Source organism: Homo sapiens, chromosome 5 (assembly GCF_000001405.40).
Source record: "Homo sapiens chromosome 5, GRCh38.p14 Primary Assembly".
Classification (NCBI taxonomy): domain Eukaryota; kingdom Metazoa; phylum Chordata; class Mammalia; order Primates; family Hominidae; genus Homo; species Homo sapiens.
The window spans coordinates 96,055,350-96,069,209 of NC_000005.10; the positions used below are offsets into that span (position 1 = coordinate 96,055,350).

Here is a 13,860-nt window from a genome sequence, read left to right on the forward strand (position 1 = left end):
CTATGGCTAGCATTTTAGATGACTAGTTTATTTGTTAAATGCATCCAAAATAAATGTTACTAGATGGTGTTGTTCCTTTGGAGAGCATGCTGTATTTTAGCAGTGACCAAGAGTACTAGAACCCAAAGGAATGATGAATGCAAATATTATATTTCAGGTCTGTATTCAATATAAGGTGAATGTTTCAGGACAGGTGTGCATTTTGTTGCCATTCAAAGTATACCTTCTATTCAGCTCCTCACTCTGCTATTATGCTGCTCTCAGATGGGAAGAAAACAAATGAACCAAAAACCATATTTTTTTCCTTTTGTGAATATAGATGAAAAGTTATTTAATAAGGCTTTGATAATTTTTCAGCAATTTTAATAACATTATATCATATAATATATACTTTACTTTTTTGGACACAGGAAATACCTGGCAGGCTTTGCTTTAATTCTATATCAGTAATTTCCTGTGGAAATTTGGATTATTCTGTGTCATAATTTCCTTATCTATAAAAATGGAGATAATAGGTGAAGCTTTGTTGATGATAAACTTTTAAAATATCACACAAATCATCTGACACATATATGTAACATGACATTCACATCTTTACAAAAAAAACCCAGCCAGTTATGTTCCTATTTTAATAGTATTCTATAAGGTTTTCTACCCCCAAAACACCCCAGTATCCTCTTTTTGTTTCTTTTTGAAAACATCGTTTTAAAGGGATAAGCACAGAGTTCCTAAAATCAGCTTACCTTACCTCCCCCTAGTTATGTATACCTAACATTGAGCAGTTGGTTTTTGAAATTTTTCTATAAACTCACAGGAAAAAATACTAAACAAGTATCTCTGATAATCCTAGATATTTTTCTTTCTGGGAGTTAGGTTTTGCTTTCTTGCAGTTGTCTTACTAAGTCATAAATTTCAAAAACAAATGTATCTTCCATAACTACTTTGTACAGCCACAAAAAAGATTGCTTCTTTGGGGTAACTAATGACTTTTAAGGCATTCTTAAAAACAATGCCTCCTTCCTTTGGGCTATAAGAATGTTTAGGCTGAAAGGAACTGAAGGGCTATTTAGCCCCAACTCCTGTATTTATTTCCAGATGCACGAACTGGCTCCAAAGACCTGATGTGGACTTAAATTCACACAGATGGGTTGTTTTATTGGGGAGTTCTTGAGAAAGAGTTTGAATCGGCATATTGAGTATGTGAGATTCGAAACATCTGAGTTGTATTGGTTAGAGCTTTGTGCCATTGCATCTTTCAGATATTATTTGTCCATGCTTCTGTTTTCCTGGCAAGATGGAATGACAGTAGCAGCATTTCTGTCCTAATGCTGAGATGGGGAAAGTTTTATGTACATCATAGATATTCAAGTGAGAGATAAAAGTAAAGCCAGCCTCTGTTTTGAAATTTAGTTCTTCTCTGGCCTGAGATGGTCTCAATTCTTAACTCTTAGCCTTAGAAAAATAAGATTTTAAAGCATATGTGTGGGGAGACTTGGTATAATCTCTATCTAGTGAGGGATCTCTCTACCATCCCCAAGGAGTGCCTGGTCTTGGCTTGGACACTATTACAAAAATTTTTTTAGACAAAATAAATTTAGCAGTTATTTAGCAAAGAATGCTTCTCAGATTGGGCAGCCCCCAGAACCAGAACAGGTTCAGAGTGCCTCTGTGGCTGCTACATGGTTGGATAACTTTTATGTACAGAAAAAAGAAAGTGATGTATGGAAGATGGAAGTGAACTATAGAAACACTATAGCTGAATTAGTTTCAACTCAGCATTTGCCTTATTTGAACATGATTGAACATTTGGCAACCTGTGGTTGACTGAAACTCTGTGATTGCTATAAGAGTAGGTTACAATTCACAGTGTGTGGAGAAACCTTTAGGCAGAACTTAAAATATGTTAGGAGGCAGCTTTAGGCTAAACTTAATTTAACAACACTTTTAGGCAGAGCCGTCTCTGCTGGCTTCATTGTTGACAGCTCTATTTGTTTGAAAGTTTTTGACTATTTTGAGTTGAAATCTGCTCCCTGTAATTTCTGCCCACAAATTCTAGTCCTTTTTGGGGAAACCCAGACCCAATATACTATCAATTGACTTCTTTCTTTCTCATGAAGTCTTTTCCTTTCCGGAGTAATCACTTCCATGCCCTTCAGCTTTTCTTCATAAGGCATTATTTTCAGATTTCTGATTGATCTTCTTAGGACTCAGTTTGGTTTTTAAATTTTGTCTTTTAACATGTGAGGCTCAGAACTGAATACCTCTCCAGATGTGGTTGTCCATTATGGGATCTATGGCAAAACCATGACATCTGCTAGTGACACTGTATTTCTATTAATGGAGAATAAAAATACATTTACTTTCTTGACAGTTGCCTTATACTCTTGACAAATACTAAACTTGGAAAGAACTAACCCTTCTGGATATTTTCTGCATGAAATGTTGTCACATCAGGTCTCCTCTAGTCTGTGCAATTAAAATTTGAACCTACATTTATCTATGTTAGATGTTATATTTTTGGTTTCATTGTGGCAAGAGCATTTAAATTCTTGACTCTGCCCTTGATTGAAATCATTTGCATACTTTTCTTATGGTAGAAGAACAATCTTCAGATTTTGAGCAGTGGGGTGCCTTATTTTTCTTAGAAATATCGAGCAAAAGATGCATTGATTCTTGACCTTATTCAGGGTCTTCTATTTAAAATATGTGTGTGTGTGTGTTGTAGAGGTATGTGTGTAATGTGTATTTGTAGTTGTTGCTGTGGTGCATTACCCAGATCTTCCCTTCAGAACCAAATCACTGATTCTCTACTGATGGGAAATTAGAGACTGAGGCTCCTACACTGAGTCCCTCCCTGGGAATTCCCTTCAACCAAAGAGTGTCTCACAGGATCACAACACCTTCCCAGGGACAGCCTTCATACAATGATTGGCTGAGGCAGGGGAATAAAGGCTCAATCCTATTGCTTTGAGGATGGGCCATCCCAGCTCTAGAGATTCCCAGTGTTACAGCTGAATCTTTTGTGTTTGTGGCTGCATTGAAATTTAATACTTTTCTCTGGCCACACCTACTTCCTTCATTTTCCCACAGGTGTGGAAACCAAGGGTCCTCCTCAGTCAACTTCATGTTTTCAAATCTCCTTCAGAATCAGTTTTCCAGGGAAATTGACCTAAGAAATTTGGTACCAGAAGGGCTCTAAGAAAGCTGATTTTGAAGTGGGAATTTGGAGCTTGGTCACTGTAGTTGGCTAGTAATAGTGGATAATCTTTATTATGAAGTAGCCATCCAATGGTTAACGCTTTCACTGGTGAACTGGGATGGGATACCCAGGAAGGGAATGACTTGGCTGGTGCAACTTTTCAGATTTTTGAGAGGTACAAGTACTAATTGTAAGGATAGTGGAATTGGATGGCTGTTGCTGAGTTCCATTAATGCATAGGAGAAAGACAAAAAAGCCGAAGTGTGAAAGTCTGGCAGACCTCCTTAACAGAAATTAAAGTTACTCTTATCTCCTACAGTCTGAAGGCAAAAATGCTGAAAACCACACCCAGGATTTTATTTTAAGAGTAGCATATCCCCAGAAAAGATTACATTTTCAGCCCCAGCAAATTTGCTATGCCAAGGCCCAGGCTGAAAAAACAGAATGACGAAAACTTTAGCTGGAAACATGGGGCAAGGTACCCAGCTCTCCCTAAACCTCCTGAGCTTACAGAAGTAGCCCCTTTTTTTTTGTTAGAGATGAGAACCCCACCCCTTACCTGAAGGCAATATAGAGACTTTTGCTTTGCAAAACTGCACCTACCTTCCTTGGTGGATCTGCTCCCACCTCCTGGCTACCTAGCATCATGCAAAACATAACCAGGTTACGGAAGTGTGAGCTTGCTAAGCAAGGAAAGGGACTAAGCCATGGAGCTGCAGAACCCAGCAGGACGGATAATCAGGAGGCTGAGAGCAACCACCCTAGTGAAAAGCTACAATTCTTTGCCAAAGTTTTGGACCTGAGCCAGTTTTCAGACTTAGAAGTCATTAATTCAAAATAAGTCTGGGTCCTCAGGAAGAAGTCCCCTGCAATAATAGCACGGCAAATGATATGGCAGTGTTTCTTCAAGTTATCCCCTAAAGGATCTAAGGCTATTTACTCAGGTAACTATCCTGGGAAAAGAATACTCAGAATTTTAAGGGTTGTTAGATACAGGGTCCAAAATGACCTTGATACCTTAAGACCTGTGGCTTCCTGTTAAGGGAGTGGTATGTGAAGGGAGTGGTATGTGAAGGCCAGTAATAAATGGAATCCTGGCTCAGGTCTGGCTCATAATGTGTCCAATGCATCCAAAGATTCACTCTGTGGTCACTTCACGGGGCTCTGAATGTGTAATGGAATGGGCATATAGGTAGTCACTACGACCTCCACATTGGTTCTTGGCCTGTGGGGTGAGAGTAGTCATAGTAAGGAGGCCAAGTGGAAGCCTCTGAAAATACCCCTTAACCCTACTCAAGAGAGTGCATCAACAATATTATATTCCTGATGCAATAGGTAGAGACTAGTGCCACCCTTAAAGACCTGAAGAATGCAGGCAGTCCTTGTCCCTATTTCATTTATCAGCCTAGTCTAATAAATGAAAAAAACCATACAGATCCTGAAGGATTAGAGTAGAATACTGCAAACTCCACCAAGTAATAGCACAATTATAGCAGCTGTGTCAGATGTGGTATCTTTGCTAGAACAAATTAACACAGCCTCAGGCACATAGTATATGAGCATTAATTTGGTATCTGTGTTCTTTTCTATCCCTAACAGGAAAGAGGATCAGAAAGAGTTTGCATTCACTAGAATAATAATAGTTCTAAGGTTATGTTAACTCTCCCACCCTCTAACATTATATAGTCCGAAGGGACACATGCACCACCTGGATTTTCTGTAGTACGTCATCTTTGTCCTCTATATTCATGACACCATGTTAGTTGGACTGGATGAACAATAAATGGCAAGTATGTTGGAAGTGTTGGTAAAGATCCACATGCTATAGATGGTGGGAAATAAATCCTATGAAGATTCAGGTGCTTGTCACAATAGTAGAGTTTCCTGGGGTCTATTGGTTTGGGGCATGCTGGAATTTCCCTCCAAAATAAAGAACAAATTATTGCATTTCCAGCGTCCTATCACCAAGAAAAGGTAAAACATCCACTCGGCCTCTTCGAGTTCTGGAAGCAGTATATTCAACACTTGGGAACATTTCTTCTACCTGTTAACTGAGTGATATAAAAGGCACCCATCTCTGAGTAGGGCCCATAGCAGGAAAGGGCACGGTAGTCATTCTAGGCTGTGCTGCAGGTGGCTTTGCTACTCAGGCCATATGACTAGGCTGACCATATGATATAAGGGGTGTTGGTAGTGGAAAAAGATACCATGTGGAGTTTGTGGAAAGCCCCCTGTATTAATCTGCTGGGCATGTTAAAATACCATAGACTGGGTGGCTTAAACAATAGAAATATTTATTCTCACTGTTCTGGTAGCTAGAAGTCCCAGGTCAAGGTCTAGCAGGGTGGATTTCTGGTGAAGGTGCTCTTCTTGGCTTGCAGATGGCTGGCTTCTCACTGTGTTCTCATATGGCCTTTTGTATGATATGTTTGTGGAAGAGAGAGAGTTGGAGCACTCTGGTATCTTTTCTTATAAAGACACTAAAACTATTGGATTAAGACCCAACCGTTAGGACTCCATTCAACCTTAATTACTTCCTTAGATGCCCCATCTGCAAATACAGCTACACTGAGGGTTCAGGCTTCAACAATTTTTGGAGGGGACACAAAATTCCACTCCTAACACCCCTAAAAAAGAATCACAATGCAGACTCCTAGGACATGCCTTCTGTAGCAGAGAATTATACACCATTCAATAAACAGCTCCTGGGCTGCTACTGAGCACTAGATAGTGGGATACCAAATGACCCTGCAGCCCGAATGGCCTATCATGAGCTGGATTGGGTCATACCACAAGTTAAATTCTAGTGATCCCAGCAACAATCAAATATAAATAAAAGTGGTACGTTCACAAAGCCCATGCCATCTATCATTGTTTCAATGGCAGTTCTCTCCCAGCTCACATATAGGACTGTAGGGACCAGGGGTCTTTATGGCCAGCTAACAGAGAAGAAAAAAGGCCTGAACTTGACTCACAGATGAATTGATCTGGGTACAAGCCAAAAATAGACTTGGATGCACTATAGCCCCTCAGAGGTAGAGTGACGTTGTAATATCCTCCCAGTATGTAGAGTTGTTGGTGTGCCCTTGTTATTCAGTGTGTGTGTGTGTGTGTGTGTGCGTGTGTGTGTGTAAAGAGAAGTAGCCAGAAGTAAGAATACTTATGAAGTCATGGACTATGGAAAATGGTTTGTCAGGGACATAGAAAGAGAATATGGAAGATAGAGGATAAGGAGGTCTGGGGAGAAGAATACAGATGCACACATGGGAGTAAGCCCTTAGTGTGAAGATATTTGTATTACATGTTAATCTCCACCAGAGAGCATCCATTATGGAAAAGGCACCATGAATGTCTAACCGAGTGGACAGAATGACTTAGCTGACATCAGCTAATCTCCATTCCCATTATGCAGTCTCCTATATGTTTGTTATATGGCGCCATCCCTCAAGAAAACCAAACAATTGGTGACAGCCTGATTACACTGGACCCTTTTCACCTTGAAATCCGCATGTATTCTGGATGTGGGTTTTCCTTACCTTCTCACAGGGAAGTCAGCATCACTATCCAGCAGCTTAGAGAGTGTTTGATCCACCAGCTCAGGATTGGCATAACATTGTATCAGACCAAGGAACCCTTTACAGCAAAAGAGGAGTGAAAGTAGACACATGACCATAGGACCCACCAGCCTTATCAAATACCATACCACCCAGAAACTGCCTGTCTAGTAGAGTGATAGAATGACCTTGTGAAGACATAAGTGAAGTGTCAATTTGGAGATGATAACTTGTGAGGATGGGGTGTAAGTGCAGCATATCCCTTAACCATCATTGTATAGTGCTGTGTGTCCAAGAGACAGAATGAATGGATCCAGCGATGAAGGCTTGAAAGTTGGAGTAGTGCCATTTACCTTTTGAAGCCCATGTGAAGAATTTGGGCTTCCAGTCCCCACAACTTTGGGATCTGTGGGTTTAGAGGTCCTGCTTCTCAGAAGATGAACACTTTTATCAAGGGCCAGCTTAACAGTCCTATGAAACTTTAAGCTGTGGCTGCCACCCCATCACTTCAGGTTCCTCAGGCCAAGAGAACAGCAGTGAAAAGAAGGGGTCACCATCCTGGCAGGGATAATTGGTCCTGAAAGAAAATAGTAAGGCTGCTGCTACCCAATGGGGGTGTGGAAAAATCTGGTTGGCACTTAGGTGGCTCACTCGGGAGTTTCTTAGTACTCCTTTGCTCAATTTTGAGAGTGAATGGAAAAGTATAGAAGTCATGGACTGAGAACATGTCCCGCAGTGATGAGGTCTGGGTCACCCCCCAAGTTAAGCTGCCTTGACCAGCAGAGACACTAGCTTGGGATGAAGAGGGTCAAGAATGAGGGCTCAAGAAGAGGGTCGAGATACAGTAGGAAAGCAATGCACTGAGTATCAGTTGTGGTCTTGACACCAGCTGCCCCACTAACACCTCCCTCTCTCACATAAACTTCTGCAGGAAGAGATGACCAATCAGAATCTTGGTAGACTTCCCCACAGAGAAAGCACACCAGATCAAGTACAGCCCAACCATTGTGCCACTTGTATTTCTGTACAAGTGGATATAAATCTGGTGTGCTGTCCACATCCTCCCTTCAGGACTGAGGGACTCATTCCCATAGTGGCTGGACTGCTGATGGCTGCTAGTTCTCAGCTGAATCTCTGCCTGGGTATTAGCTGAAGGGACCCATTCACTCAAGGTCATGACCCCCACCTGAGGGCAGCCCACAGCAAATGGCTGGTCAATGTGGAGTTATAAAGTCTCAATCCCTTGAGACTTGGGTGGTCCAAGTCAGAAGGACCATCCCAGCTCCAGAGAACCCTGTAGGATTGGCTGAGTCTTTTGTCGCTATTGTAATACAGTTCAACTACTCCTTGTGCCCATTCCTATATCTTGTGCTCCTCCATAGTTGTTGATCCCAAGGATACTTTCCAAGAACTTTCCCTCCTGAAAATATTCATCTCAGAGTCTGTTTCCCAAGGAATGCATCTGAAGTCATACTGTTTCTTAGTCTGATAAATCAGCAAAGAGCAGAGACCCCATTCAAACTCTTTACACGCAGACACACAATGGTACTTCAGTATACGATTCTGGTGTGTAGTCTTATTTAGTTGGGGGCTGTTGTAAGTACTTTACATGTCTCAGTTTATTTAATCATTTCAACAATTCTGGGAGGTTGCTACGTGTCATTCCCAATTTACAGATGAGGAAATTGAGGCAGAGAGTTTAGGTGCCTTTCTGAATTCATACAAGTAGTTACTGTCAAAGGTGAGATTTGAGATTTATCATTCTGCCTCCTACTATGCTATGCTGTTGTAAAGCTTTTGGAACACAAGAAGGTGTGTGTGTGCTGGAGGCTCCTAAGCCATCATTAGTGTACGTGAGACTGTGAGTAAGAGCTTCCCAAGCATACATGATCCATTCCTCAGTTTACCTGTGGGGAAGCTAACCTAGTAGTCATCATGGTTTATTCTCAGGTGGAGACAGGGGAATAATTTAACTTGGTTACCTGTTAAAGATGCATTTAGCTATTAGAGGATTTTAAGTGACCTAGATTTGTGTGTTTTATTGGCCATGAGAACAAAGAGGTAAATGGTAGCAAAGAGACAGTAGTTTTTTTTCTGCTTTGACTCCAGTATTTCTTGATGCTATTGACCAGGTGATAGTTAAAAGCCATGCTTGGTTCTCTTACCTCTTCTTACCCTCTATAAGAGTGAAGGTTGAATAGAGATTATTTCAGGGAGTGGAGAAAGTTAGAGACTCTCATAAACCTAGAGTTTCCAGACTTAATCTAAATTGTTTTTGCACAAAGCTAACTTTGATTATATAATATTCTGTTACAAATAAAGTTGGCATTAGAGTACTGCAGACAGCTGTTGAATGATAGGCAAAAGTATGTAATTGCAGCCCTCATAAAGATTTCATTTTTGTACTTTCATTTAAATTGATAATTAAATTTAAAGACATCAATCTTTATTAATTACAGAATGTGCCTAAACCCTGACCATGAGGATAGTTATTGTGGTAAAGTCTCTTGGTGCTGTCTGTCCAGTTATGAAACTTTTCTTCATTCACTTGTGCCTGATTTTCACAAGTGATATTCATTGTAGTTTGTGCCTGTGGCCTACAGGAGAAGAAAGCCACCTGTTTAACTATTTAAATAGTTATAAGCCCATAGTTGCCTGAAATAACCTAGTCTTTCGTAGAAAGGTATGAAATTCCCTTTTCTGGGAATTGTTTTTTGTTTCTGATTCTTGCCCTTGGTAACATTTATGCTACTATATTATTTCTATGCTATGTGCGTTAGTTAAACCAGCATAAAAATTAACAGAAGACTTCACAAAAAAGCCAGGCCAGATGTCCCCTTGCTTAGCTCCTTTTATCCTCTTTCCGCTGACTTCACATGTTGGTAATGGCTATGTATTTGGGTATATTTCTGGATTAAACATTTTAAAAGCTAACTGTTGCCTTCTGGTACTTGTTATTCCTGTTACCAATAGTTCCTAGTATTGTTAAAAAGTCCCTGATGAGTCAGTTCAAAAGGTTAGGGTTTAGTGAGAGGGATAGTACATTTCTTTTTGGTGGAAACTATTAACATATATAAGTCTTTGGCTTTTTTTTTTATCATTATTTCTTAAAACTTTGAAAGTATATTAATGAGTCAAATCAGCTTCCTTAAACATCAGTGAAATGTTTGGATTAACAATTTTTAAATTTTTATTTTAAAAAGCTTTAATGTTGTGAGGAAAAAAATTACTGGGGGAGGTACTCAAGAGAGCCTTTTGGGGTCCTGGAAATTCTTTATATCCTATGGTGGTTAATGATCTGTGTGTGTGTGTGTGTGTGTGTGTGTGTGTATTTATATGTATATATGTAGAAATTAATTGAGCTGTATGTTTAAAACTTATTCTCTATACTGTGTATATATTACAACACAGTAAGGCAAATTAATATTTTCTAGTTTTGAAGCATCTTTTATTTTAAAGCATTTAGAACATGAGATAAGGTAAGTGATAGGATTTTTTTAAAGTTGTAAAGCACTGTGCAACTAAAAGACACCACAATCTAGAAATAGAAATAGCATATTTGGTATACAAAGTGGGTTGTCCTCCACCCTGTAGGCATGGATCTTTTAAACCCTGGTTTAGCCCCTCAGCCTGTTGCCAGAGAGTGAATTCTCTTTGTGCTGAGATGACTCTTAGCTCTGCCCCTGCTGTGGGCCTTAAAGGTTTAATTCTAGGGCAATTAACCCACAGATCCTTTTCAAAGCTTGTCACCTTACTATGACTATGAAAGAGCACATATTGTCCCTGGTATGATCATGAACAAAGTTTCCAACAATTGAAGGGGAGTTCAGTGGAGTCAGGAACTGTATTAAGGAAATATATTACAGGGGCAGAGAGAGCACCTCCTAAGAGTGTAATGAGGAAGAGAACAGACTAGAACACTCCCATTCCTGTTAAAGCTTTGTTAAGCATTTTATGACAGAAAACTGCTAGTGCAGGCAGGTTAATGAAGAGAGAAGATGAAAAACTGTTCTGTGAGTTTCAAACTAGGTCTATCATTAAAAGAGGTTTAAGTGTCACTTGCAAGCCAGTACTTTGGAGACTGAAAAGTTGTAGTATACCCTTTTAGTGTGAATCTTGCTGACAGGGTCAGCCTGAACAATAGGGCTTTGATAGACAGCCTGTATCCCTTTTGCTATGACAGGGTTTGATCTCTTATCTCTTATGATTTCTGACTCTCTTTTCCCCATTGTCTCTGTACTGTTCCATTCATTCCCACTGCTTGCTATTTGATAATGATTTCTCTAACAACCTTTTTTTTTTTTCTTTTTTAATACCTCTGCACTTTCTGCCTATTTCTTTCCATTTTTAAGTCCTTTCTCTAGCTTGTTTTGAGCCAGTTTCAGGGCAAATTCTTGCCTGTCTTCCTCTCATCTGTTTCTCAGCTAGATCAGGTTTCATATCTCTTACTACTTCAGCCCATATAAGTTTTCCCTTTCCTGTTGTAGTTACCGTCTGACTTTCAATGTGGCACTTAATTATATAATTTCTGATCTTATTTGTTTTTTTAAATTTTTAAAAATTAAAATTTTTTTAGAGACAAGATCTAACTCTATTGCCTAGGCTGGAGTACAGTGGTGTGATCATACCTTACTGCAAGCTTGAACTCCTGGGCTCAAGCAATTCTCCCCCCTCAGTCTCCCTAGTAGCTAGGACTACAGGCATGCACCACCATGCCTGGCAAGTTAACAAAATTTTTTTTTTTGTAGAGATGGGGTCTTAGTATGTTGCCCAGGCTGGTCCCAAACTCCTGGCTTCAGTTGATCCTCCAGCCTCAGCCTCCCAAAGTGCTGGAATTACAGGTGTTAAGTCACTGCACCCAGCCCTGTTATTTCTTAAGTGATTCATATTTATGCCTTATTTCTCCAGTTTTCTTGGAGGGAAAGCATCACCTTCATTTTCTATCTACTTTAGGGGATAACACAGTGCTTTACATATAGTAAGCAATAAAACTACATCTGTGGGATAAACAAATTTATATTCAGGTTCCTATAATGTCAGGTACTCAATCCTTTGTTTAAAGTTAATGCCATGTAAAAATAGGTAATAGGGGTATTATATTTGAATTTCAAGCAATCTTGTGCTTAAGGTTATATTCTGTATTTTCTTTTTATTTTCCTTTTACAATTTAATCTGACAGTGGGGCCAATTTTATAGGTGTAGGAAATCCTTTGTCAAATATAGTCTTCCAGTAAATACATGTTTTAAATAATGCAATGTGGATATGGCTCATTATAGTCTCTAAATAATTACCAGGGCCCTTCAGTAAGGGAAATACTTTTCTGATGGATCATTAGGAATACATTTGTGGCAGACTTTTAAACCATTACTAATCATAGAGATGGTCTTAATTGCTTTCGAAGTGAAGAATTCTTTGAAATGTGAAGAATCACTTGCTAAACTTTCTGATTTGCTAGACTAGGTTTTCCTAAATTGGCCTAGTTTAAAATGGGCATACCTGTGCTTAAAAAGATCCAGAGACCTTCCACCTATCTGCAAATACAAAATTAGCAGTAATAACTGACAATCAGCCTCCTTTCCCTCTGTCAGTTATAGGGACTATTTAAGGCTATATCTTTTTCATGCTCTTGAAGTAATGTGAGGTTTAGATTTGACTCCCTTTAATCTGAAACACTGACTTAGCTCCAAACCACTTAACAGCCTGCCATTTTGCACTGGGAGGGGAAAAACAGCAATGTAATTTACTGTCCACATTTTATAGTTTTCCCTTAAAAAAAAAAAAAACTTGCTTACACAGTTCCTGTATTTGCACAGACTAGAGAGTGAAATGGCTTTTAAATGCAGCCCTGGCTGGGCAATGCCAGGAACCCACAGCAGCTGACAGGCCACTCTAGCTGGGGAAAGGCAGTCAGAGGTAAAGAGCATCTCTGGGAATAAAGGTGTCAGGGAGAGAGTGTGAGGGAAGATGTAGGCGGCACAGGTGGGAAGGACAGAGGGTCATGGCTGGCCTACGCTTCATAACTTACGTGCACATCTAGACACATCTTGATAACGATCCTGTCATCATTTTAGTCAGGCAGAAGCATTTCCTGGGCCCTGACTCATTGCTTGGGAATTTCTTCACCATTACCCTGTCTGAACCCTGGTCTCTTAGAGATCTAGCCAAAAGAACCTCTGGCCTTATATATTATCTCTATTACTGAATGAACAGTGTCTGTCTTGGGTCTTGTCTAGGAAAACGGAATAAGAAGCAGGATTCTTGAAGTCTCACCTTGAGAATCATGCTCCACCCCGCTAGAACTTTACCCTGACTCCTGGTCCCTGTGCCCTACTGCCTCACATTTTTCAACTTCTCCTGCTCCATATTCCCTTCCAGCTCCATCCATTCATGGAGCAGTTACTAAACATCTGATATGGGAACCCACCCACTGGACTAGTAAGGAACCCTGTATTAGTCAGGGTTCTTCAGAGAAACAGAACCAATAGGATTATGTGTGTGTGTGTGTGTGTGTGTGTGTGTGTGTGTATAATATGTGTATGTATGCACATGCCCAGTTAATTTTTAATTGTTCATGTATATATAATTAAACATATATGTATATTAATTTACATATTTATATACATATGCATAGTAAATGTGTATGTAAATACATATATGCATATATTTAACTTAAATATATACACATGTGTGTATATGTATAAAATATATTTTATATATACACACACACATATGTATATATATACACACACCTGTCTTCCTGTGTGTATATATACATATATACATACACCAATGTATACATTTTTACATATGGCTCTTGGTTTACATGTATACATACATGAAGACAAAATCGACAGGATGTATGCGTGTATGTATGTGTATATACGGATGTATATATGTATATATGTGCATGTGTATAACCAGATGTATATGTGTGTATGTGTGTGTATGTGTATATACAGATGTGTATATATATGTATACACATACACACACATCCTGTTGATTCCGTCTTCATGTATGTATACATGTAAACCAAGAGCTGTATGTATATATGTATACATTGGTGTATGTATATATGTATACATACACATGGGAAGACAGGTGTGTA

The 13,860-nt window shown here is 39.4% G+C and overlaps 1 protein-coding gene and 2 long non-coding RNA genes across 15 annotated transcripts in view, besides 1 other annotated feature; 2 read left to right on the top strand and 1 right to left on the bottom strand.

The window, feature by feature from the left end:
• Positions 1 to 13,860, top strand: part of CAST (calpastatin) — an 813,255-nt gene that overhangs the window by 93,921 nt on the left and 705,474 nt on the right. The gene's annotated exons all lie outside the window — the stretch shown is intronic.
• LOC101929710 (uncharacterized) overlaps positions 1 to 13,860 on the top strand; it is a 669,085-nt gene that overhangs the window by 93,349 nt on the left and 561,876 nt on the right. The window lies entirely within an intron of this gene.
• The window catches only part of LOC105379096 (uncharacterized), an 86,202-nt gene that overhangs the window by 69,084 nt on the left and 3,258 nt on the right, over positions 1 to 13,860 (bottom strand). The window contains exon 2 of the long non-coding RNA XR_001742447.2: positions 6,736 to 6,832. This is a non-coding gene — a long non-coding RNA (uncharacterized LOC105379096). The remainder of the gene's footprint in view (positions 1 to 6,735; positions 6,833 to 13,860) is intronic.
• Positions 10,107 to 11,009: an enhancer, noted in NCBI's record as "OCT4-NANOG hESC enhancer chr5:95401160-95402062 (GRCh37/hg19 assembly coordinates)". NCBI's record gives its function as "activates a minimal SCP1, AML or CMV promoter by ChIP-STARR-seq in primed H9 embryonic stem cells {active_cell/tissue: H9 hESC(primed)}" and the evidence as "EXISTENCE:reporter gene assay evidence [ECO:0000049][PMID:30033119]".